This window comes from Homo sapiens, chromosome 10, assembly GCF_000001405.40.
Source record: "Homo sapiens chromosome 10, GRCh38.p14 Primary Assembly".
Classification (NCBI taxonomy): Eukaryota; Metazoa; Chordata; class Mammalia; order Primates; family Hominidae; genus Homo; species Homo sapiens.
In genome coordinates, this window is record NC_000010.11 from 130,375,401 (window position 1) to 130,400,995 (window position 25,595).

Below are 25,595 nucleotides of genomic sequence, written 5' to 3' on the forward strand. Positions count from 1 at the left end.
ACCAGCATCATCTGGGAACTTGTTAGAAATTCAAATATTTGGCAACCTCACCTTCTTTTCTCCTGCCCAGCCTGCAGACCTAACAAAATTAGAAACTCTGAGGCTGGGACTAGCCATCTGTGTTTTAATAAGCCTTTCGGGTCATTTTTTTTTTTTTTTTTTTTTTTGAGGCAGTCTTACTCTGTTGCCCGGCCTGAAGTACAGTGGCACGATCTTGGCTCACTGAGACTTCTGCCCCCAGGTTCATGTAATTCTCATGCCTCAGCCAGCCGAGTAGCTGGGATTATGGACATGCACCACAACAGCCTGCTAATTTTTGTATTTTTAGTAGAGACAGGGTTTCACCATATTGGCCAGGCTGGTCTTGAACTCCTGGCCTCAAGCGATCCACCTGCCTCAGCCTCCCAAAGAGCTGGGATTACAGGCATCAGCCATTGTGCCTGGCTGCCTTCCAGGTGATTCTGATGCACAGTCAAGTTTGAGAACCTCTGGTTTAGGTTTTCTGTTTCTTCTTAGGTCAGCTTTATCATTTGTACTTGCCTAGAAAATTGTCCCTTAAATCCAGGTTCTCAAACATATTTATCATAGAGTTGTGCAGGTATTTTAAAAGAATTATTTAAAAAGTGTGTTTCTGCAGTTGTTTTCTGTTATACCATATATTAAATTGTGCTCCCATGGTTCTGCTTTTTTTCCCCAGCTGATTTGTGAAAATTTTGAAGCAGGTCTGTATTAGTCCGTTTTTAAGCTGCTGATAAAGACAAACCCAAGACTGGGGAGAAAAGGAGGTTTAATTTGACTTATGGTTCCACATGGCTGGGGAGATCTCGTGATCATGACGGAAGGCAAAAGGCACTTTATACATGGTAGCAGCAAGAGAGAATGAGGAAGAAGCAAAAGCAGAACCCCCTGATAAACCCATCAGATGTTGTGAGACTTATTCACTATCACGAGAATAGCATGGAAGAGACCACCCCCATGATTCAATTACCTCCCGCTGGGTCCGTCCCATAACACGTGGGAATTCTGGGAGATACAATTGAAGTTGAGATTTGAATGGGGACACAGCCAAACCATATCAAGGTCACTCTCGTGATTTCTTTTTGGGTAACACCCATACAGGTGTGGACTCCTTTTTGTCAAGTTTCTCAGTTTCACTGTGCAGAGGCTAAAAGTGGCAGCAACATCTCTTACCACCTGGCTATGAGATTTCCTTCAAATACCTGGAGAGGGACTCATTGGTTGGGAATATTATCACACTCTGATGTTTTGCCCAAGAGCAGCCTGTGAATCCTGCTGAGAGTTCACAGCTTAGCCTTTCTACTTCTTTGCCACCTTCCAGGCTTCTGGAACTGCTCCAGGACAGAGCAGCCTGGATCAGAGGAGGGAAGTAACAAGTGACAGCCTGCTGGAGAAGTGACAGCTCACGTCACTTCTGTCCTGTTCCAGGAGTGATGCTAAGTCAGGCTTCTGTCTCGGTTCCTTTGTGTGCCCTTTATGGAGGCTCCTTCTGAGTCCCCCCTATCCCCACCAGAAGTCTCTTCTTCTGAGTCTTGGTTCATATCAAAGTGGAAAACTGATGTTCTAGATGCACTTATGCAAAGCCAAGGGCGGGGCAGAAGGCAGGGTGCTGGCCGTGGGACTTAGTGGTGGTGGGTCAGTGGGAGCAAAGACATACACTATCAGCAGTGCCTAAAGGTGAGAGCTCAGGGATGGCCCACCTTAACCTTTCTCTGCACGTTCTTATAAATGCAGGTTGTAGTTGGTTAAATAGTGTTCTCCCAAACTATGTCCAAGTCCTAACTCCCAGGACATGTAAATGTGACTTTATTTGGAAACAGGGTCTTAGCAGAGGTAATTAAGCTAACAGTCTCAAGATGAGATCCTGTTGGATTTAGGGCAGGCTCTAAGTCCAATGACTGGCATCCTTATAAGAAGAGGAGAGGACACACAGACACCCAAGTGAGCCACATGTAAAGACAGAGGCAGAGACTGCAGCGGCGCAACTCCAGTCAACCAGCCAAGCAACAAGACTGACTGGCAGCCGCTGGAAGCCAGGAGAGAGGCATGGAATGGGTCTCCCTCTGAGCCTCTGGAAGGAACCAACCCCACTGACACCTCAATTGTGGACTTCTGGCCTCCAGAACTGTGAGACAATACATTTCTGTTGTTTGAGGCCACGAGGTTTGTGGTTGTTTGTAATGGTACCCACAGGAAGCTCATCCACAGTTAACACACATCATATGTGAGCTCTGCGCAGACAGTCTTTACGCTGCTGTCATCATCCAAGGATGGCTGTGCGGGGAACGATGACTGCTAACTCAGTTCACCAGAAGATTGCTGCTCCCTGTTTCTTTGCATAGTATTGACACATGAGAGGCTTGGAGGATGCATACCCTGAGTTAGCACTTGAAGTCATCTGAATGCTGTTTGCCTGTCCTTGACATTACACAATTTGTGTATCTTTGTGTGATCCAAGTTAAATCTGACAATAGAAAACAATCACAAAATAAGCATTTCCTGGCATTGTCATCATTCAAGATGAAAGGAAAGTGGAATGAGGCGATTTCTGCCTCTATGGGATCCACTGACAATTAACTGGAGCAGCTCATCCCGGTCCCTTTTCAATGAATATTAACAACCACACTGACTGCAGATAGCTCTGTATTGCTCCCCATCGTGCGGCAAAATTGAGTAAACACTTATTCCTCATTAGGGTGTTTTATGAATAGGGCATTACAGTGCGCTGGTGGCACTCACTCTGCCTTTCGTGAAGGAGGCCACGATGAACAGCTGGAGTCGGAATCACCGTTCTGCCTTCTTCCTGTTCTCAGCAGACGCACACGGCGCCGAGGGGGTGCTCTGTGAGGCCCCTGGAGGGGCAGTTACTTGGGCTTCTCAGAGAGAACCTGGCAGCTCTTTGCTGAAACCCGATACTCCAGGCTCCCAGGGCCGGGTGGCCAAGATGCTGTGCAGCACGGGTCACCTGCTCCTGGTCCTCCCACTGCCTGGATGGTTGCTCCGTGTTTTTATAAAGAACATCACTCAAGTATTGCGTTTTCTTTCTTCATTTTGCTGTCTGTCCCTCTCCATTCAACCTTTCAGTGGGTGTTCCTGAGTCCTTCCCTGTGCCAGATGCTGTGCAAGGCACTCAGGTTACAGTGGGGGACAAATCAGATGTGGTCTGTGGGTGGGGAGTGTCCTGAAGAGATGCTCTTTGAAGGCCCTGAAAGCCCACGTGCTTGTGTGTGACTCATAGGGGCAGGGTCTCTGGACCTGGGAGGCCCTGACTTCTCCCTGCTCTTGCTCTGCATGAGGGTGCAGACTGCTCAGGCCCACCCTGAGGAAAGAGGCCATGGTTCCTGTCCCACCCATCCTGCAAGGCCTAGACCCACCACTAGGGAGGACAGTGGCTCAGTATCTCACGGGATCACCCTAACAGCCCACTGGCCAGACTGTATCTGACAGTATCTCATGGGATCACCCTAACAAACAGCCCATTGGCCAGACTGGGGTTGATTTTCTTTTTACTTAAAATGCTGCATCCTCCCACTCTGCCCAAGATAGACATGGTAACTGGGTTACAGCTTACTGAGCGCCATTCTGGAAACTTCTAGAGTCTCAGTTTTCATCTGAAATGAAATAGGAGAGGAGGAATTCACACTTAGGCATTTCCAGGCTCGGTAAGCAGCACACGCCTCCTCATTAGTGGCCGGCTCTCTCTGTGTGAGCAGAAGGCGTTTCATTTCCTCACGTCCCTCTCTCACGCTGCCTGGCTCCCCTTCTTGCCACCTTCGTCCCTCCTTCCCTCCTCAGCTCACACTGTGGCTTCCCGGTGACATCCTTGTCCTGCTCTCACTTCTCAGGCCGGGCTCGCTCTTCCTGAAGCATCTGCCACCGTCCCAGGCTTCCTGCCTGGCTTCTGCACAGGTCTCTGAGGGCGGCTATTCCCAGTGAGGTCTTTCTCTAGGACAGGAACCTGCTTGTCTGCAGAGAGTGTCACCCCTCAGGTCCTCTGCTGGGGTCCTCTGAGTGCTAGTCCATGAATGGCGGCTCCTTAGGGCCCAAGGACAGTGCCCTGGCCAGGGCCTGCAGGCTGCGGGATACTGGGTTCCGGAGTCTCTGTGGGATTCCTTCCCACTTCTGGGTTCGGCTTCTCCTTAAGCCTTGGTCTCCTTCTTTCCTGGTGCAACAGGTCCTTTCTGCGGGCAGCATGCTGGCTTAGGTGGGTGAGCCCTTCATCCTTCCAGCCTGGAATGAGACAGGAACAAAATGCTCCTGGTTTCATTTTGAAGAAAGCAGGCAGGGCCTTGGCTGATGGAGCTTAGGCCCTGTATACATTTCTTGTGGCTGCAGTAGCAAATTACAACAACCTGGTGGCTTAGGACAACAAAAATGCACTCTCTCTGAGGCCAGAAGGCTGAGGTCAACGTGTTGTGGGGCTTTCTGAAGCTCTGGGTGTGGGGGATCCTTCCCTGCCTCTTCCAGTTTCTGGGGGCTGCTGGTGTTCCCTGGCTTGTGGCTGATTCAATCTGATCTCTGCCTCAGAGGTTACACTGCCTTTTCCTCCATCGTGTGCCATCGAATCTCCCTCTCTCACAAGGACACTGTCATTGCATTTAGAGTTCACCCACAAAATCCAGGAAAATCTCCCCACTTGGAGATCATTAGCTTAGCCGTGTCTGCAAAGTCTACCAAATAATGAACATTCACAGGTTCTAGGGGTTAGACCCTGATGTCTTCAGGGGCCATTATCAGTTTACCACAGGCCCCGTGCCCTCCCTGGGACCACAGCACCCAGGGCAGAGATCTGTACTGGCCTCTGTGGGGAAGAGGGGCAGGACTCCTTCCCGAAAGGATACTGGCTCCCGCACAGTTGCAGCTGTGCAGAGGACTGTGGGCCAGGGCCCAGCCTATTTTGTCTCTCTCATGATTGCTGACGGGACAGTGGTGTGCAATTCCCAGAGAATCCTGCACATGTTTTCTCACTTGACCTCATCAGCAACATGAAGGCTTATCATGGATATTATTGTTATCTCCACTTTTTGATGCGAAGCCAACCTCAGGGGTCAGCTGCCTGCTCCAAGTTGCATGGAAGCCTTGACTCTCTGCTCCTAGGAGACAGGATGGATGGGCTGCCCTGGTGGATACCTGCTTTTTGGGAGGCCACCAGGCAGGACTGGGGGTGGGAAGTCCCAATGTTGCTTGGGGAGGCTGGTCTGGTGCTGCTGCACCTCATTCTCTGGGAAGGCTCCTCCCAGAGGGTCCTTGGTGGTGCCTCTGCATGATCCGAAACTTCTCTGCTCACCCTCGCCCCTCCGTCCTGGAAGCCAAGCTGATTTCTACTGCTCACGCTTTATTAGCATATTAATCAGAATAGGCAGGTTGGGGTGAAATCCAGTAGACAGCCCAAACCAGGTGTCTGGACGCTGGGTAGCACATCCTGCCCTCCTCCCAAAGAGGGCCTGGGGTCCCAGGCTGCTTCCTTCCAAGCCTCCACCATCCCACGGCTGAAGGTCACCTTGAAGACTCTCGTCAGCACTCAGAGGAAGGCAGATTGAGTAGGATGGTTTCTGGCTGGGCAGGACGTAACTTCTGCCTTCATTCCATCCCCCAGGCCTGGTTACGTGGTCTCAGTCCAGCTGAAGTGAGGCTGGGAACTGTGGTCAGCTGTGTACCTGGAGAGATGAATGGGATGGGTGTCCAGTGTCCCCCACCGGCCCGGATGCTGCCTCACCTTGGACATGGTGATAGAGGAGGTGTCATGAACTGATTTGGGCTAGGTGCTTATTGATTATTCTAGTCTCTTCTAAGTATTCTGATACTGATTCTGCTCCAGCATCACCGGCGGGGCTGTGGCAGATCCAGGCAGTGCCAGGTTTATGGGCATGTGCTGCACAGGTCCCAAATGCAGAAGGGTCCTGGCACTTGATTTAATGCTATGTGTTACCATCTTGAAATTTGTAATAATTTTGAACAAGGAGGTTTCATTTCCTTTTTGTACTGGGATCTGCAAAGTATGTAGCTCGTCCTGAAGCTAATGTATTTTTGGGGTCCACGTGCTCAGGGGCCCAAACCTTGTACCTTTAGCACCCTCAGTTTCCCAGTCCAGCTCTGGGCCCTGGAATTGCATCAGCCTTGCTCTCAGGGGTGGGGGTGCAGGAGACATGTATTTCTCTGTGGGAAATACATGAGGTCTTGAGGTACCCAGGTTTCTGGGGAACAGGAGCAGAAGAGAGCAGCATGGCTCTGGATCACTCCATAGACCCAGGGGCTTCTGCTTCAGAGGGCCCTTAACCTTCCAGCCCCGGGGATGCACCCTCCTCCCTCAGCCCCTGCCATCATCTGGAATCCCGTGGCCACAGAGTCCTGTATCACATTCTCCTTGGATGCTGGGGTTTCTCGTTCTGAAGCCCTCTCTGCTGTGGGGCCTTTCCCATGCTCTCAGGTGGCCTGTGGGAGAGAGGCCCAGCTTGTCATCGTTCTGTGCAACCGACCCCAAGCCAACATCCACCTTTCTTAGTGGCCATGGAACACGTCTCACAAGCCTGCTTTGCCTCCTACACCGATGGGCGCTAAACCTTCCCAAATGAAAGACGTAGGCACTTACTTCTCTGTCCTGTGAAGTGAGCCACCAGTGTCACCCATCCAAAGACAGAAAGGACTCATTACTCTCAAAAGCCCCTGGCATTGTGGATTATCTGGCTGTCATCTTGCTTCTGTTGCTGTGAACTCTGAGGGTTGGGGGCTGCGGCTCCCATCCCCTGTCAGTGAAACCCGCTGGGTGCTGTGCTGTGCACACCTTGACTGTCAGTGTGCAGGGCGTCCTGAGGCACGGGTTGCACTGGAGGACGGGATGCCACAGCCACCCTGCCACAGCATCAGAGGCCACTGCCTGGCCCACACAAGGGTGTGGGGGAGGTGTAGTCATTTCAGCAGGAGGAGTCATGCTCCTCATTTTCAAGAAAGGGCCACCTGCTTTTGCAAAACCGAGGCGGAAGTCCAAACACAGAAGGAGCTGCCCAGTTGCACATACAACTTGATTGATTTTGAAAGGAAAGCACGCCATTGTGCTTCTGTTATGAATAATGGTAATTGAGACATGACCTTCATGAAATTTCAGAAAAGGATCCAAGTAGCTGTACAGTGCTGGTCAACTGGAAACACTGTAGACACTCCCAGAAGGATCTGGGTTGCCACCTCAGGAAAGCTGCTCTGGGCTCCAGGGTGGGCTCCAGGAGGTGGCCTGGTAGACTTCTGCCTGACCTGTGAAATACAACCATAGAAACAAAAGGGTATTAGCTTGTTTTCATTTTCAAAATTGAATATCTTATCTCCAGGTTTGTTTTATTGTTGTTGAATTAAAATACTTAGGGATGTGAATTCAATAAGGTTCATTTTTTTTGACACATGAGAGGCATAAGACCTCTTATTTTTTTCTCATATTGTGCTTTAAAACAGATTCCACCTGAAATAAGTGAAGGAAAGGCTACAGTGGACTGCAGGCCTTCTCAGAGCCTTTAAAATGTGAATGTACTTTGGGAATTGCCAATAGAGTAAAACATTGAGTAATGTTTCCTAGGCAGAATTCTTCTTTGGTGTGTATCTATGAATAATGCAGATTTGGGTAGAGAAGAGTGGAGCCTACAGTGGCATGGGAGTGAGTTTGAGTGAATTCCTTCCCCAGGCAGTCCAGGGGTCCAGGATTTGCTCAAGGGTGTTTGGGTTGGGAAACCAGATCCTGCTTCTCCCTTCTGTTGCTGCAAAGGCAACTTAGTGCTCAAATGTCTCCTTGGGGAACTTGGGTTGTAAAGCTTTCCCTGTCTGTCTGATCTCCTGGGCTCTGTCACACAGTTGTTATCACACAGGGCTTGAACTGCTCCACACCCTGAGGGAATGGAGGGAGTTCTGCTGAAACCAATCTCTCCTCTCCAGACCTTGTATTTAGTGTAAAACTGCCCCTCCAACTCTGTTAGTCACAAGCAGAGGAGTCCTCAGCAGTTTTTCATGAATGAGAGGAGTGATTGATTCCCCTCATGTCCTGCTGGGAGTGGGCTCTGGCCCTTGTTCCAGACAGGGCCTACAAAATCCTCCATCCTTCAATCTATGGGGGGTTTACCCTCATACCCATATAGGAGCTGCTTGCTTCTGCCTCTCTCTGCCCAAGGATATCTTGAAATAAAAATAAAACCTGGTGAATCTTGTCCTCTGGAGGTCAGGCAACTTCTGATTTGAGCTCAACAATAGGAAAAATTGGCATGCTGGGACAAAAAGTTCAGGTATCAGAGAGAAGCATGGCCATCCTGTGGGAGAGGGAGGAAGAGATGGCTCACTCCTACCAGACACCTAGTGATCTGAAAACAAACCTAGATTGAGTCAACACAGATTATTCACCACACAGAGACAATTGGAATAAACTAATCAGCCTACCAATCAACCTACCTACCAACCTACCAACTAGCCAACCATTCTACCAACCAACTAACTAACCTACCTACCAACCAACCTATCAACAACCAACCAACCAACCAACCTATCAGCCAACCAACCAACCAATCTACCAGCCAGCTAACCAACCTACCAGCCAATCTACCAACCAACAAATCAACCAACAAACCAATCAACCAACCAGCCAACCAACCAACCAACCAATCTACCAACCAACTAACCAAACTACCAGCCAACCAACCAACCAACCAACCAACGTACAAACCAACCTACCAACCAACCTACCAACTAATTGATCTACCAATCAACTAACCAACCTACCAACCCACAAATGTATCAACCAACCAACCTACCAACCTACCCGCCTATCTACCAACCAACAAACCAACCAATCTACCAACCTACCAACTGACAAACCAATCAACCAACCAATGTACCAACCTACCCACCAATCTACCAACCTACCCACCAATCTACCAACCAACAAACCAATCAACCAACCAGCCAACCTACCAACAAACCAACCAGTCTACCAACCAACCAGCCAACCTATCAACCTACCAACCAATCTGCCAACCAACAAATCCATCAACAAGCCAATCAACCAATCAACCAACCAACCAACCAAACTACCAACAAACCAACCAACCTACCAACAAACCAACCAATCTACCAACCAACCTACCAGCCAACCTACCTACCCACCAATGTACCAGCCAACAAACCAACCAATCAACCTACCAACAAACCAACCAATCTACTAGTCTACTAACCAATCTACCAACCAATGACCAAGCTACCAACTACCAACCAACTAACCAACCTCCAACCAACCAACCAACCAACCAACCAACCAACTGACCTGCCAACCAACCAATCAACAAACAAACCAACAAACCAACCAACCAAAAAAATGAAGCACCTTTCTGGAGTTAGCAATCTTCTGTTTTTTTTTTTTTTTTTCTTTCACAAGAAGTTTGGGATACAGTTTTTCTCGTCCTAATAGTGTTGACTGACCAAACAAATATAATTTAGGAGCAAATTCCTGTAAACTTGTAGCCCCTCTGCCTCTCTGTATTTCCTAGAGATGATACTTTACATAAAATACTTTAATGATTCAGATTTCTGAATTCTGACATTCTGAGTTTAACTGGTGCTCCATCTTAGTGGGCTGTGGGACTTCTCACATCCATGATACTTAATGCAGTTCATAAAAGTCAATTTAAGTTGAAAGTTAGGTTTTGTCTTAAGAGATGTATTTTGGTGAGATTCCATTGTCTAATGCCCTGGCAATTAAAAACTATTTTCTCCTGACCTGGAATGAGATCTGTTTTCACTTCTCTGCACAGTTGCTCAGAGGCTTTGGCAATGAGGATTTTTGCAAATGTGAGGTGACCCTCCTTTTCCCATTATCCCAATGTCCTCTACTTTGCAAAGTTTTTGACTCCTCCAGGCAGCAACTAAGCAATTTGGTTAAGTATCTCATTACCGCTTTCCTCCTCTGGGCTGGATGTGTGGATGGTTTGTTGTTTCTTGTGCTGGCCTCTGAAGCTTAATTTTCTGTCGCAGAGGACTACTTACTGGCAAATTTTAAATCCCCATGAATCTCGAAATTCATTGAAATTCAAAATTCTTTCCTTCTCTATTCACGTAATTTCTACAAAGATCTCAGAAGAAATTGAAAATGGGCAGAGGAGTTGTTCTACGGAAGCTTTAAGCTTTTTTTCACCTAATGAAATGTGTTAATTTTGTGATGATTTCAGTTTTGTGGTGTTCAATTTCTTGTCAAATGTGATAAACAACGGAATGAATAGGTTTTATATTAGCCTTTCATCACTCAATGAGTGATTTCACTCTCTCATAGCCTCTCTTATGATCTCCTAGTGTTTCATTTTGCTGAAATGTGACAGCAGGAGAGCCTTTCTGTGACTGATCTCTACAATATAACAACATCGCAAAGAACTGCTTGCTTCTAAATTATTCACTGGGCCCTGTCAGGTACAGTTTCTTTGCTTCCTGGGTGTTTTCGTTAATTGCTATTTTAACTTCTATGGTCTGATTTCCAAGTTTATCAGAAGCTCAGTATTACTCTCCCTAATTGGCCTCTCATTCTCTGTTACCAGCTAGCTGTCTGATAGACGTCACCTCTTTTCATTCCTCTCCTCTTGAGCTGCCTTCTTGCTCTGTTGCAGTGTTTGTTTTCAGATTTATTTGGCATCACTGCTTTAGATATTTTTAGTTGTATTTTTAAAACCAAATTATTTGACTCCTGTATCATATCTGCATCTTAAATTATTCACATCAACTTAAAAATATCTGTGAAATGTTTTTATATCTAAAAATAACCTTAGCAAGATTTTTCTGGTCTGCTTTATGAGTCTGTGAGTATTGTGATTTCTTCCAACGTTGGTGAAAGCCTGTGGTTAATTCCCCCAAAAAGTTGAGTGAGTGTGGGCCTGGAACTTAGGAACAAGGGTATATCTGTGGGAAGATGGCCTTGGATCCATTCTGACACAATTGCTGAGAATATTTAACAAAGACAATTCAATATTCTCATCATTTGGATCCTCTTCTCTACACCATGTCTCTTTTTATCAGGGGACTTTTAGATATATATTTTTTGACACTTTGATATCTCCTACCTCTCCTGGAAATTGGTGTTGACATTTTTCTATAAAGATATTGAACTTTGATGCTCCTTATACAAAACTCAATTGAACTCTTCAGAAAGCTCACATTCATTTTCTTTTGACTTGTAGGATAAAAACACAGAGATGAATTTATCAATTTCTCCATAAAAAGTAGAAATTTGGGAGATTTCAGAGAAGTCAGGATCTGAAGATCTTTAGCGTATTCCTTTACTGGACCTTGATGAGGAAGTGACTTGTCATTTGCCGGTTTCATGCATTTGAAGTGGCTCCCTACACACGTGTGTGCAGAGTTAGTGAAGGAATTTTGCAGGTGGTGTCACAGATTCTGATGGTGCCACAGATTCTGATGGTTTGCCTTAGAGAAATGCTTCTTGCAGAGTTTTAACAGGGAGTTTAGGAAGAAATCACATTAGTGCAGAGGCTGTTTAAAAATAAAAATTGCCATTAGTGTGTCAAAAGTAATTAAATGCTTTGTTCTGAAGCTTTAACAGTGATTCTTAGGGCTTTTAGGCAAATCTTTTTCTCTAATACCTTGTTTAAATAGAAAACATTGTTAGAAAAAAGATTCTCTTAAATTTGGCTCCTTCAGGATGAGAGTTTGCCTGGCTTCCCAGACTTTCTCTAGGGGTGCAGGGTGGAGGTCTGGACAGGAAGGAGAACAGGTGAAAGACCACTCCCAGTGGCTGGCGGCACCCAAACCGCATTCTTCATGTTCGTTTTAGAAGAGGCAACTGTCACCCTGCAACCTTCTATTGTGGATTAAATTTGTGTCCCCTCAAAAGATAGGTGGAAGTCCTGGCCTCCATGACCTGTGAATGTGACCTTATTTGGAAACAGGATCTTTGCAGATGTAGTTAACATGTAAGCTAATATGAGGTCATATTGGAGTAGGGTGGACCCTTAATCTAAGGTGATTCATGTCCTTATGAGAAGAGACCCAGGCAGAGATGAGAAGGCCATGTGGAGGCACAGACACAGAGGGAAGAGGAGGGAGGACGGAGGCAGAGGTTGGAGTGATGCTGCCACAAGCCAAGGAGTGCTGGCTGGTACCACCAGACACTGAGAGAGAAGGAAGGAGCCTCCCTTCAATGCCTTCAGAGGGTGCGTGGCTCGCAGAAATCTTGATTTCAAACTTTTAGTCTCCAGACTGTGAGAGAATAGATTCTGTTGTTTTCAACCCAGCCTGTAGGCATCTGTACACGGGAATCTTCCCCACTTTTTTTTTTTTTTTTTTGAGACAGAGTCTGGCTGGAGTGCAGTAGTGTGATCTTGGCTCACTGCAACCTCCACCTTCCGGGTTCAAGTGATTCTTCTGCCTCAGCCTCCTGAGTAGCTGGGACTACAGGGGTTCGCCATCATGCCCGGGTAATGTTTGTATTTTTAGTAGAGATGGGGTTTCACCATATTGGCCAGGCTGGTCTTGAACTCCTGACCTGGTGATCCACCCACCTTGGCCTCCCAAAGTGCTAGGATTACAGGCGTGAGCCACCGCGCCTGGGGTGGGAGCAGACACCCATCAGGTGACAGCGCAGGCTCTGGCTGCTTCCCTTCAGGTTGGAGGGTGGGTTCCTGTCACCCTCATGAGAGACCTTTATCCTTCCTCTGTGCCTGCTGCCTCCCTGGCTGGCTGTGTACCAACCACAGGGAAGATCTCTCTTCCCAGGCAGATGCCCAAGGTCAGTGGACGCTGATGAGGCTGGGAGCCTGACTCCTGAATTATCTCTGAGGCACCTTCACTGTACGTGAGGCTGACCAGCTCTGGTCGGGTCACCAGAACTGTGCTGTGCACTCTCTCCCCTGGAGAGATTTGTTTGACCGGAGGGCCAGGTGACTTGGCAGATAAGCTCCAGGCCTTTCAGCCACCTGCAGAGAATCCTGTCAGGACAGGCACCCTGGTGGCTGGGCCGGTGGCTGCCCTCCAGGTAGCAGGTGGTAGCTGGACTCAACTCCTCACCTGTCTTCCCTGTTCCTGATTCAGAAGAGCTGCAACCCTGGCAGGCACTCCTTGAAGGGGTCTCCCAGGCGGTGTGCACATGGAAAACACCAGAACATCGGTGGCTACTTATTTTTAATCTAAAGAAATGACACAATACTTTCTTGTACATTCATAAAATATATTTTATCAGCCAGAGTCCTGGCAGGAAAGAGGAGGTGCCTGCGGCATTCGGATAGTCCCAGGAGCACTGCATAGAAATTGTGCTGAGCTGACTGTCCTTGTCTTCAGGTGCATTTTCCACTTATACCCAGACCTATGCCTACGGGAGCTACATCCCTGCCCCACCTCCTCCATTCCCTATCCCTGTCTCACCTCGGGAGCTTCCCACTGGGATTGACAATGTGGAACTATGGTCTGCATTTGGGAAGAGGGAGGAGCAGGAGGGCTTGGCAGTTACCCGCTGGCTCCTCTCCCCACCACAGGTGAGACTGCTGGGGTGAGGGCTGATTCGCTCCACCTGAGGCCCCTGTTTCTCCCCAGGCCTGCCGGTCTTCCCCAGAGGTTCAGGGGCAGTGACTGACCTAGAGCAGCCCGAGTCACTGTGACATCCCTGTGGCTCTCCCACCCCTGCCCACACCTTTATAGATAGCAAATTTGTCAAACTCTTATTGAATTATTCTAGTTGTGTGTGCCACCTGCTTCCTGTGGGGACCTTGCTGCAAAGGAATCCTTTCTTTAGAAGATATGTCAGGTTGCAGGGAAACCATGGGCATAGGCAGCAGCACTCCAGGGCTATGCAGAGAGGAGCTGGGGTCAGATGGAGAATGCACCCAGGCCAAGGCATCCCCATAGGAGGAGATGGGAAGTAAGCATCCTGGCCTCATAGTCTTTCCTCGGTCATCTGCCAGGGCTACCCATGGGCTATGCCCAGTAGAAGCCAGAAGGCAAGGGGGCTATTGATACGGTCCATGCTGAACAGGCACTGAACCAAAGAGAAGAGCTGGGAATATAGGCCTGCAGGGGTTCGTTAGTGAGATCTGGCACGTACGTTATTTATTAATTTGGTCATTTATATTTATAATTTATAATTAATAAATAAGTGTACATACATTAGGAGAATGTGCTCATTTATTTTTTAACTGATGAGAGCAAAATATCAAACCATTTTGGGAATCACAAACTTGAAAGAAGACATTTAAAACTTAGATCTTGAGATTTAGTTGACCATTTCTAGCCATTCATAATTGATAATTTGGTGCAGGCATTTGAGGTGTTAGCATCTAGAGATGGATTGCTTGAAACCCCTGAGGATGGTATGGGTGCAGTGAGTCACATGAGATGCAAAGCCATCCATGGGAGACCCCTTAGGTTCTGTCAGCAGCATCACCACTGAAGAGAGGACATTTACTCTGGAAGGGGAACCTCTAGAGTCATCCTGGTGGGGGAGATTGGTGGCTTGGACCAAGGGGGTGGTGGAATGGTGATAGTGAGATACGTTTCCATTATTGGTTGAGTTTGAAGGTGAAACCTACAGGGTTTGCTTATAGAGTGAAGTGAGCTGTGAGTGGAAGAGAGGTCAGGAGTGCCACTGAAGCTTTTGGCCTGAACGATGGAAAGAATGGGGCTACCAGGGGTGAGAAGAAGGCCGTAGGAGGAGCTGGCTGGGGCGAATGCCAGAGCTCGGTTTGGGGCAAGTCAGGACATGTTGGACATGCTCAGGATGCTGTGGCTACAACAAAGCTTCCTTTCCCCATGTTCATGCCATGGGGCTTTGCTGCTTTTTTCATCAAGAAGTGGAGTCTAATTCCCCAACCCTTGAGTCTGGCTGGCCTTGCAAATAGCTTTGGCTGATAAAATGCAGGAGTGATGTTGTGTGGCTTCTGAGCTTTAGTCTCAAAAGACTTTGCAGCTCCTGCTCTCACTGTCTTGAGAAACTGCCCTAAGACCACTATGAGGAAGCCTGGTCTACCCATGGGAGGATCAGAGGCCATGTGAAGCAGAGTAAAACTGTCCTGAGTCCCCTAGATCCATCAGCCAACAGCCAAGACCAAGTGCACAGGAGACTGAGGCCATCTTACTTTATCCAACCTCAGTTGAGCTTCTGGGTGATGGCCTCTACATGAATGACCCCAACAGAAGAACCACTCAGCTGAGTCCAGCTCAAATTACTGACTCACAGGATCATAGCAAATTGGCTTATTTACTTCATTAAGATTTGGCATGACATTTGAAAGAAGACATTTAAAACTTGGACCCTGAGATTCAGTTGACCCTTTTTAGCCATTGATAATTGATAATTTGGTGCAGGCATTTGGGATATTAGCATCTAGAGATGCTAACAGCAGTACTTAACTGATATAAAGCAGCACATAACTGATAAAGGTGTCGACCTGACATGCAGTACAGATGGTTTTAAAATGTAGGCTTTATTATTATTTTGGTATGGTGAAGCCAAGAGGTCAGAAGGCACCTCTGCCATTGGGAAGACAGTTTGTTGCTCACAGTTCCCAAGGGAAGGAGGGGGCTCACCAGGCTGCAAGATGTCTTACGGGAAGCACCTAGGGCTGCTCCAGAGGCAGAGGGAGTGAGGGGAAAACAGACGCAGGGCCCTTTACCGTGGCTTCCATGGGAAGGAATGGGTGAGGCACGGTGAGCTGGCTTAGGACTGGCCAGGGTGAATAATTTCAGTGGGCCCTGGTGCACAGGGACTTCCCAGGTTGTCTGGTACCTGGCCCTGAGTTGGGTAGGGCAGGTGAGAGTGGCCCTGGGAGTGACAGCCTGATGGAGGAGGTGGTCAGGGTATTGAGTCTGGAGTGGTTGTTTGCATATGAGAGCCTGATGGAGGAGGTGGTCGGGGTGTGGACTCTGGAGTGGCTGTTTGCATATGAGAGCCTGATGGAGGAGGTGGTCGGGGTGTGGACTCTGGAGTGGCTGTTCCTGTAAGAAAGCCCCCAGTAGTTTCCTGTCTCTAGGACCTTGCCAGCCCTGGGAGGGGCTGTCCTTCCGGTGTCAGCAAGGCCCTGGGTATCAAACATCAGAAAGGACATGCTTAATACACATATGTCACAGACCCCATAGGCTCTGTGGGTCTGGAGTTCAGGGGAAAATCCTGGCTGGAGCTATGAGTGGGAACTGTCAGAGCCTGGGCGAGACCACCTAGTGAGTGGAGCGAGGGAGGAGTGGTCTGAGGCAGAGCCCTGTGGACCTGCAGCCTGCAGGGCTCATGGAGGGGAGGGGGGCCTAGCAAGACACTTTCAAGAAGCGTCCAGAAATGGAGGAGGGAACCGGGAGGGAGTGCTGTCCTGGAGCCAAAGAAGGAAGGCATTTCTGGGATGAAGGAATGATGAACTGTGCTGAGGGCTCTGCATAGGTTCTGGAGAGGAGGATGGAGAAGTGGGCACTGGGTAAAACACCATGGGGTAGGGTGGAGCCAAGGCTCAAGTGAGGAGTTCAAGAGGGAGCTGCCACCCGCCAACCTACACACCTGATGCCCCTCCCTCCCTGTGCCCCTCCACGTTCCCTGTGCCTGCTTCATTTGCTTTCCTTTGCATGCACCACAACCTCATGTGCTGCCTCTGCTACTCAGTTATCTTGATGTTGTCCATTCCTGTGTCGCAGGCAGGATCCCCGAGGACACTGATTCTGTCTCTTGTGTGTAAACGACACCTGGAGAGCCTAGAGCTGCTCCTGGCACAGTCAGAGCTCCCCAGCACTGTGTGATGAATGAATGAATAAAAGGGAACTTGGGTGTCACCAGACCTGCATACTTCTCGGGTACAGAGGAGGCAATGGCGGCTCTGGGTAGACGGACTCGCCAGGGCATCCCAAGGCTGAGCACCAGGACTGAAGCCCAGTACTCCTGCCTCAGAGCAGGTTCCACTGCACCTCTGGCCGCTGTTTTACTGTCACCGCTCAAATTCAGCCTCTGGTTGTGATCATGTTTTCTATGTGCCCGGCACATAGTGAGCACTTAATAGTCATTCCATGACTAGATAAATAAAAAGTGAACCTATAAACACCACATTCAAAAAGGCTTCTATTTTGTGTTAACTGCTAATCCAAAGCAGTGTTTGTTATGTCTACTCCACTAAAAAAACCCCAAATGTCCACTAATGAATGCACTTAGGTCAGTTTCATCCAGAAAAGTGAGCTACACGAGGGAAAGCTTTTAGCTAACACCTCACAAGACAGTAACAATTAGTTTTTGCTATCATTTGCAGTTTAATTATGCTGTATCTCTTTGGCAAGAAATGCTTTAGTCTGGGGCAATTTAATGTTTATAAATGTGTTCTCTGTTGATTGTGGAACAGTGATGTCAGACACACGGCCTGATGCTCTGTGATCCGTCTTCAGCATGTCGGGGGGCCAGGCCCCCAATAATCAGGCTGAAATTCACATCTGGAAGTGGCATGGGTGGAAAATTCAAGAGAGGACCTGAAGCCAGCAGCTCCTGGAAGTCTGGAAGAGATTACCTTTGCTAGTGCTTGATATAGTTGAAGTCAGGGACAATTTGTAACCATTGGCAAGCAAGACTTCTCAGAAATGCTGAGATTGTTTTAATAATGACTGGCCAGCTCTCTTTGGGGGAGGCTGTTCCCAAGTACATCTGTGTAGCCAGGCTTGTAAAAGTCAGGACAGGCAAGGTGATGCTGAGGTAACAAATGGCCTTGGATTCTCAGTGGGTGAAAACAGTGAATGCATCTTTGTTTACCGTTCACGCTTCTCGTGTCATGCAGGCCAGGAGGGGGCTCTTTCCTCTGTTGTCACCCAAGGAATCAGGATGACCAAGGCTCCGTTGTCCTTGGACGTTGTAGTCTCAACACGAGAGTTCAGGTTTTGCCATGATGCAGGGAGGGAACATGGGGAATCCAACACCAGCTCTAACCATTTCTGTCTAGCATTGGCTCATGTCATATGTTGTTGTGGGAGCAAATCAATAGGATCTGCTCTCCTCTCTGTAGGTGTGAAGGGATTCTGTGGGCTTGCTCTGTTCTCAGCATTGCTGTGGTCCTGGGCACCTGGGGTGGGCACAGGGTCTTTGCTGAACTTTGCAGCCCGGTATAGTGGACCAAATAGATCAGAACCTCTGAGGAGGGACCCCACATCTGGAGTCTGAAGAGCTCCCCAGGTGATTCTAATGTGGAGCCAGGTGGAAAACCACTGGGCCAGCGGAAGCAGGAGTGACAGGTTCCCATTCCTCTCCACTCCCATGGTGTCCAAAGCTTGCCGATGCTGGTGCCGATGCTGGTTGCACTCAGGTCTCCAAGGACATTAGTTCACCCTTTGTTACAGTAGGTAGTCAGGCAGACATGAGCAGGGAAGGAGAGGGCCCCTCAACCAGGAATGTCAGGTGACCATCAGGTGATGGTTAGGTGGTTGTTAACTGTCTCTCTAAAACAGTAATAGGTCACAGCCAGTGCCAGGGAAAGGCAGTCTCCCAAAAGATAGAAATGCCTGAAACAGGTGATCAGCAGCTTCCCAGTAAGATCTCAGGAGTTGGGTGAGTGAGCTCAAGCGTGCACATTGAGAGGCAAAATGGCAGAGTTTAACTGGCATATGACCTGAGGATATTCTGTAGGAGACTGGCGAGGGTGGTGAGAGAAATTATAGAAAAAAGATGCAAACCTTCTTGGAAGGCCAGGAGGTTTTGCAAAAGCTTTGAAAGATAATTTGGTGAAGGCAGCCAGATTCTCTTATCTGGAGCCTGAAAGCAACGGTTAGGTAACAAGGGGATGTAAGAAAATGATCTAGATAAGTTAGTTTACTTAGGCCTCAGAACCTGGCCTTTAATCATCCACGCAGGACTGTCCTCTCCAGGGGGTGGGGGTGGTGGTGACCATGTTAATTACCCACCAGTGTGTTGACTCAAAGCCTTTGTCATTAAATCTGCACTGAATAAATGCCCGCAGCACTGGCTTGTCAGGGCTGTGGCTGCTACAACTCATTCTATGAGCAGCCCAGTCCCCTAGCCCGCTCTTTCACTGCATACCTGTGTCCGAGCGCATTTTTTCATCTGTTGTTCAGCCAGGGTCTGCGGGTCAGAGCCAGCAACATTCCACCAGCAAAGGGAAGAAGGCCTCAGGTGAGCATGCTCACAATTCCAGTAAACACCGTGCATGCTCCCCTCCCAAGTGCTAGCAGGCCACTGTGCAGGTAGACAGCTCACCCCAAGGGACGAATCAAGGGAAAAAGGACACAAGATGCCAGAAGTAGGCCAACGTAGAAAACCCAAAGTCCAAGGTCAAACAGGGCACTTGTCCTCCAAGATGACTGCCTGGCCCTCTTCCAAGTATATTTTACTTTCTTTTCTTTCCTGCCCTAAAGCTTTTCAACAAATGTTCACTCCTGCTCTAAAGTTTGCCTTGGTCTCTTCTTCTGCCTTATGCCCCTCAGTGGAATTCTTTCTTCTGAGGACAAGAATTGTTGCTGCAGACCTGTATGGATCTGCCATTGGTAACTCGGATACCCATCATCAATAACGCCTTGTTCCATGGCGGGGAGCTGCCCTGCATTTAGGAGGGCTCAGCAGATGCCACCCTGGTGGCCTGGACTGAGCACATTTTTTCTGGCTTTCCCAGAGAGGTGTCTCTGGGGCAGTGGTGCCACCTTGAGCCCCCTGAGAGTGAGTGGCAGGGTGAGTGTCCTTGGGTCCCACTCAAGATCCCCCCACACAAGGTCAGCCCCTGGCTTTCCTCTGTAACAGTGTAAACCCTGAACCAAACGATTGAGTCCTAATCAGCGAGCCAGCCATGGATACCCCTAGCCACCGCAGGCTCGGATACCTTTCAAGGGAGAGCCTGAGGGCTCCTTACAGACTTGCACTGCTTGGGGCACTCTAGTTTCCTCATAAGGGGTGATCTGGCTGCCTTGCTGAGACAAAGCTTTATTTTTTTTAAACAAGTTGAGAGTGAGTAACAGCATGGCCTTCCATTTGGAGGAGTGGTAGGGTGTGGGGTGCAGCTACGAGGGCCCTGTTCTAGATGGAGGCTCTTTGGTCTGCGGTCATCTTAGGCTCCTGTCCAGATCTCTCCAGGACCGGGGAGACAGGGGGTCAAGCCAAGATGCTCCAGTTGAAGCCCAGGCCCACCACTGAGGGCCTTAGGTCCTGGCTTGCAGGGAGCCAGAGAAGTCTCCTTTGACTTAGGCCTTGAAGAACTGTTGTTCTAAAGAACAAAAGGAATGAAAACAAAAGCAAAAACAAAACCCCTAGGAGAGCAAATAAGAAGCTTTTATAAAAGCTTCCTGAAATGCAAACAGCAAACAGGGGAGGTCGGGTTCTCCCAGGAACTAATTAAAGCTTCCTGCTTAAGTGCAAAGTAGCTGGTTTCTGAAGATCTTCCCCTGCGCTTGGCCTGGGGCCTGCCAACCGGCCCCTTCTAAATGGCTTTGTCTTCCCTTCTTGACTAATTGCTATTTAAGCTAAGTGTTGTCAGATAAATTGTTTCTTATTCAAATAGCCAAATATCTTCCGGGCTTGAGAGACCTGCTCACCTTGGGCTGGGAGCAGGCTTCCCTTTAGTTTTCCCATCTCTGCTTGGGCAATTTAGCAACTTCTGGCTGAGAGATGCCAGATTAATTAAAGAGGTGATGCTAATGCAGCACGGGGCTGAACACTGGAAATCAGGTTTTAATTGAAAAATGAAATGCATCTTCCTAACATCAGAGGTTAGATTTGGAATGCTGATGTTTCATTAGCATAGCGTTTGGTGTTTAAGACTAATAAAACATCCAATGGTGTGGGAGCCTTGGAGAATCAGCGGAAACCGCCAGTGGATCTCCTCTCCACCATGAGGCCGATGATGGCTGCCTCCTCCTAGCCAGTCTGTGCTGTGCAGCCCTTGGATACAGAGGGAATGCGGCACAGGCTCTGCTCTTGGAATGCAGGAAACACTTGCCAGCATGGGTCAATTAAGGCACATCTCTTTATGGGCATCATAAAAATGTGGGCCTCCCAACCAACTGAACAGACCCCCACTCTTGGCCAAGGGGACCTCAGAGAAACCTGAAAATCTGAGTTCTTGGCCATGAGGGGAAGAGAGGTCGGAAAAGCCTTATTATACTCCCTCCCTTTTGGAGTCTAGCCACAATGGGCCAACATTAATGTTAAAATAGACATTATAAGGCTGACAAAACACACTCTTCATGACAATGAGACACCAAATTACTAACAAGATCCAAGGCTGTGCCAGGCAGGGGTTAAGTCACACACCCCTGTGGGTCACTCTGATGCAGTGTTTTGGTTAAGAGATGTTTGAAATGGTTGTTCCCCAGTGCTGTAAAGAAGTAGCACTTGAACATAAATTTAATGTACTCAGCAAGGCAATTTTTACTTCCTGCAGAAAGAGTACACTCGCCAGCAGTTTTGCCATGAGAGTACACCGAACAAAGGAGACAGGGTCATTTATAACCTGACACGTCCACCCTACTGCTGTGTCTGGTTTCCATTGGCTGGAATGGGAACTCACATTCTGTATTTGTCCCAATTGGCTAGCAACTTAGAACTTCTAAAAAGAGGCAAAGGCAGAGGAGAACAAAGGAAGGAGGAAGTAACTTGTGGAATGCTGAGAAAGGTAAAAACGCCTTCAAATAAGGAAGAGGAACAGGCTATGACCTAATGCTTGCTTGGACCAGTGTAAGCATGCCAGGGCAAATATTTAGGCTAAATTGTGGGAGCTAAGAACATAAAGTACATTGATTTCTTTATCGTGGCTAGCAGATATTTAAGAATGTTTGCACGGGTCTTTGACTAAATTTTGCTTCTAAGAGAAGTTACTATTTATTCCTAATTAGATGGGGAGGACTGTCTTTGAAGAGGAACCTCTACTTTACTTTTTACAGAGAATTCCTTATCTTAACTTAAAACAATCCTCTCTGCAGACTCCAAATTTTTAGACAAAGCTTTATTTCTTTAACCGGTGATATGGTTTGGCTGTGCCCCCACCCAAATCTCAACATGAGTTGTATCTCCCAGAATTCCTACGTGTTGTGGGAGGGACCCAAGGGGAGGTAACTGAATCATGGGGGCCGGTTTTTCCCGTGCTATACTTGTGATAGTGAATAAGTCTCACAAGATCTGAGGGTTTATCAGGGGTTTCTGCTTTTGCTTCTTCCTAATTTTTCTCTTGCTGCTGCCACGTAAGAAATGTGTTTCAAGGCCGGGCACGGCGGCTCACGCCTGTAATCCCAGCACTTTAGGAGGCTGAGGCGGGTGGATCATGAGGTCAAGAGATCGAGACCATCCTGGCCAACATGGTAAAACCCCATCTCTACTAAAAATACAAAAATTAACTGGGCGTGTTGACAGGCACCTGTAGTACCAGCTACTCCAGAGGCTGAGGCAGAAGAATCCCTTGAACTCGGGAGGCGGAGGTTGCAGTGAGCCAAGATTGCGCCACTGCACTCCAGCCTGTGTGACAGAATGAGACTCTATCTCAAAAAAAAAAAAAAAAGAAAGAAAAGAAAAGAAAAGAAAAGAAGTGTCTTTCGCCTCCCACAATGATTCAGAGGCCTCCCTAGCCATGTGGAACTGTAAGTCCAATTAAACCTCTTTTTGTTCCCAGTTTCAGGTATGTCTTTATCAGCAGCTTGAAAACGAACTAATACAACCAGTGGCAGATAAAGAATCTCTGAATCCACCTATAACTGGTAGGCCTCCACTTCAAGATATCCCACCTTTCTGGACTGAACCAATGTATACTTTCCATGTATTTGAAACAGGAGAGTTCCTTTATCCGCCTTGCAGGATGTGCGACAGGGGTGGGCTTGCTCCTTTGGTGGCCCCTGCTGCTCAAACCCATAGGGGGAGCATGTAGATGGGCAGGTGCAGAGGCCGTGGGGAGCACTTTTGGGCTCCAGCCCCATAGCCTCATTTAGGGGTGGGTGTCTGTGACTCCCAAAGCCCAAGTGGGCATGTGTTACAGTGTGCTCTTTCAGCTTCGTCCTCTGCAGGACGCTTGTGTTAATCAGCTCAATAGACTCTGTGCCTTATCGTGAGGGCAGGGGGCCAGTGTCACAGCCTTCTGTATCCTGAGTCCTTGCCCAGTGTATGAGAAGAATCGGATCACACGTGGGCTTGAAGGATGAGTGCAAGATTTTATTGAGTGGTGGAGGTGACTCTCAGCTAGATGGATGGGGTGGGAAGGTGGGGATGGAGTGGGAAGGTGGTCTTCCCCTGGAGTCAGGCCACCCTGTGGCTGGACTCTTCTCTGACTGCCCCCGGCTGAACTCCCCTTGGCATCCAGATGCCCCTCCTCTTCTCTCTTTCTCTGTTGTGTTGTTCTATTGTCGCTGGTCTGCTGGTTCTGACCTTCAGCCGCTTGTGCGTGTGACCACTAAGGTCTTGGGTTTATATGGGTGCAGAATGGGGGGCTGTGGTGGGCCAAAAGACAACTTTTTGGGTGTGAAACAGTAATGCCTGTCTTCACTTAGGGCTGCGGGTCTTCAGCCTTGAGGGTGGGGCCTTCGCTGGGGAGCCGCCCTCTTCTACCCAATATTTCCCTGTCTCCTGTCTGTATCATATTGATTTAGGTCTTTGCCTGAAACTTCTGCCTCCCTAAAATGTATAAAACCTAAAATTACAAAATATGTAATCTGACTGCCTGGGTGCACTTTCTCAGGGCCTCTTGAGGCTGCATTCCCTGGACCATGGTCACTCATTATCTTAGAATAAACCTCTATAAAATATTTTACAGAGCTTGGTTTTTTTGTTAAAGGCGTGTGCTCAAAGCTTACTGAGGGAGGGGTAACTTCACCTGGTGCCACTGGCCCTGGGCTGCAGGGAAGAATGCACAGGTTAGTTGACATTTGATCCAATGCTGGAATTGGAAGGGATGTTAGAGGGCTTTTGTTCCACACTCCTCCTTTTCAGATGAGTAAATCAAGCCTCAGAGAGGGACAGGAACTAGCCCAGAGGCAGTGGTCAGCGGCCAGGGTTGGAGCCCAGGACTTCCCTAGACAATGCTTTCTCCTCTGCTGGGCCCTTCATCCCTGTGCTGTGGGCAGGATCAGCTCACAGAGGTGGTCAGGCCGACATTATTCACACAAACAGTTCAGCTGATCATGGAGGTCATGGAGGCCGCATACCTTGGTGCAGGACAATGACTCTTTCCAGACGCGTTTCCACTGAGGCTGTTCAGGTTGAAGGAGACGGAAGCCTCCCTTGGCTGCCCTGCGTCCTGGTCTGCAGTGGCCTTCCTTTCACTGTGCACTGAGCAGGCGAGGGGCCCTGAGACACCAAGATTGGCCATGGCAGGGGCAGTGGAAAAGACGGGGAGCAGTGAGGATGGGTGCAGGTATGCAGTGGCTGAGCAGCAGGGCCTGGGGGTCTGCAGATGCTGAGTCTGAGCCTCTGCCATGACAAGGAATGTTCTTCTTACCAGACCAAACCTGGATCTGCTCACTTGGCACAGGAAAGCCAAAGATCCACACCAAGGTTTGTGGCGAGAGAAAGCAGGGCTTTTATTTGCCGGCACCAAGCAAGGAGAATCAGGCAGCTCACACTTAAGACCCAACTCCCTGATGGCTTACCAGGAAGAGTTTTTAAAGGCAGAGGTAAATGTAAGGAAAACAGACATTAAGGGCAAAATTGTAAATCAATACATGGAGATTATACATTGGTTTGGCCCAAAAAGGTGAGATATATATATATATGTATGTGTATATATATACACACATATATATACACATATATATGTGTGTGTGTGTGTGTGTGTGTGTGTGTGTGTGTGTGTATATATATATATATATATATTTTTTTTTTTTTGGCAGAGTCTGGCTCTGTTGTCCAGGTGGGAGTGCAGTGGTGCAATCTCAGCTCTCTGCAACCTCTACCTCCTGGGTTCAAGGGATCCTCCCATGTCAGCCTCCTGAGTAGCTGGGACTACAGGAATGTACCATTATGCCTGACTAATTTTTTTGCATTTTTTGTAGTGAAGGGGTCTCACCCTGTTGTCCAGGCTGGTCTTGAACTCCTGACTCAAGCAATCTGCCCAAGGTGGGATATCTTAAAGTGGGGTCTTACAGGTCATAGGTGGATTCAAAGATTCTCTGATTTGCAATTGGTTAAGGAAGCAAAGCTTTGTCTAAAAACTTGGGGTCAGCAGAAAAGAACATTAAGGTCTGGGCTGTGGGCATGACTGTTTCCAGGCCCGTCAGGGAGAAATTAAGAACAAAGAACTGCGATCAGAGTTCAGTCCCCAGTTCTTCCTTACCCAAGGTCCACATGCCTGTAGCATTTTTAATTTGGTATGGGTCCGGGTTTCTGAAAAACAACTCAGGGACCTATGTGTTATCTTTAGTTTCTAAAGAGAACCATGCATTATATGGCTCTAACTTCCTTGGATATTGTTTTAAGCTACTATTATCTTCTTGCACATCATGCTGCTCATTTACTTCTCAGGGCTAGCTAAGTACCTGGAATTTCCTTGAAGGAACTCAAGATTTTTCTTTATTGTCATGCTTGGAGGGGCCAATAGGCCCCTAAGAGGGGTCCCTGCTCTGTCTCATTATGTGGGACCTGGATTGGAGAGAGTCCATCCCATTAACTAAACAGCTGCCCCAAGTCC

General features: G+C 48.2%; 4 annotated features.

Annotated features, from left to right (window-relative positions):
• Positions 2,464–2,964: an enhancer, noted in NCBI's record as "H3K4me1 hESC enhancer chr10:132176128-132176628 (GRCh37/hg19 assembly coordinates)". NCBI's record gives its function as "activates a minimal SCP1, AML or CMV promoter by ChIP-STARR-seq in naive H9 embryonic stem cells {active_cell/tissue: H9 hESC(naive)}" and the evidence as "EXISTENCE:reporter gene assay evidence [ECO:0000049][PMID:30033119]".
• Positions 2,965–3,465: an enhancer, noted in NCBI's record as "H3K4me1 hESC enhancer chr10:132176629-132177129 (GRCh37/hg19 assembly coordinates)". NCBI's record gives its function as "activates a minimal SCP1, AML or CMV promoter by ChIP-STARR-seq in naive H9 embryonic stem cells {active_cell/tissue: H9 hESC(naive)}" and the evidence as "EXISTENCE:reporter gene assay evidence [ECO:0000049][PMID:30033119]".
• Positions 23,695–24,196: an enhancer, noted in NCBI's record as "H3K4me1 hESC enhancer chr10:132197359-132197860 (GRCh37/hg19 assembly coordinates)". NCBI's record gives its function as "activates a minimal SCP1, AML or CMV promoter by ChIP-STARR-seq in primed H9 embryonic stem cells {active_cell/tissue: H9 hESC(primed)}" and the evidence as "EXISTENCE:reporter gene assay evidence [ECO:0000049][PMID:30033119]".
• Positions 24,197–24,696: an enhancer, noted in NCBI's record as "H3K4me1 hESC enhancer chr10:132197861-132198360 (GRCh37/hg19 assembly coordinates)". NCBI's record gives its function as "activates a minimal SCP1, AML or CMV promoter by ChIP-STARR-seq in primed H9 embryonic stem cells {active_cell/tissue: H9 hESC(primed)}" and the evidence as "EXISTENCE:reporter gene assay evidence [ECO:0000049][PMID:30033119]".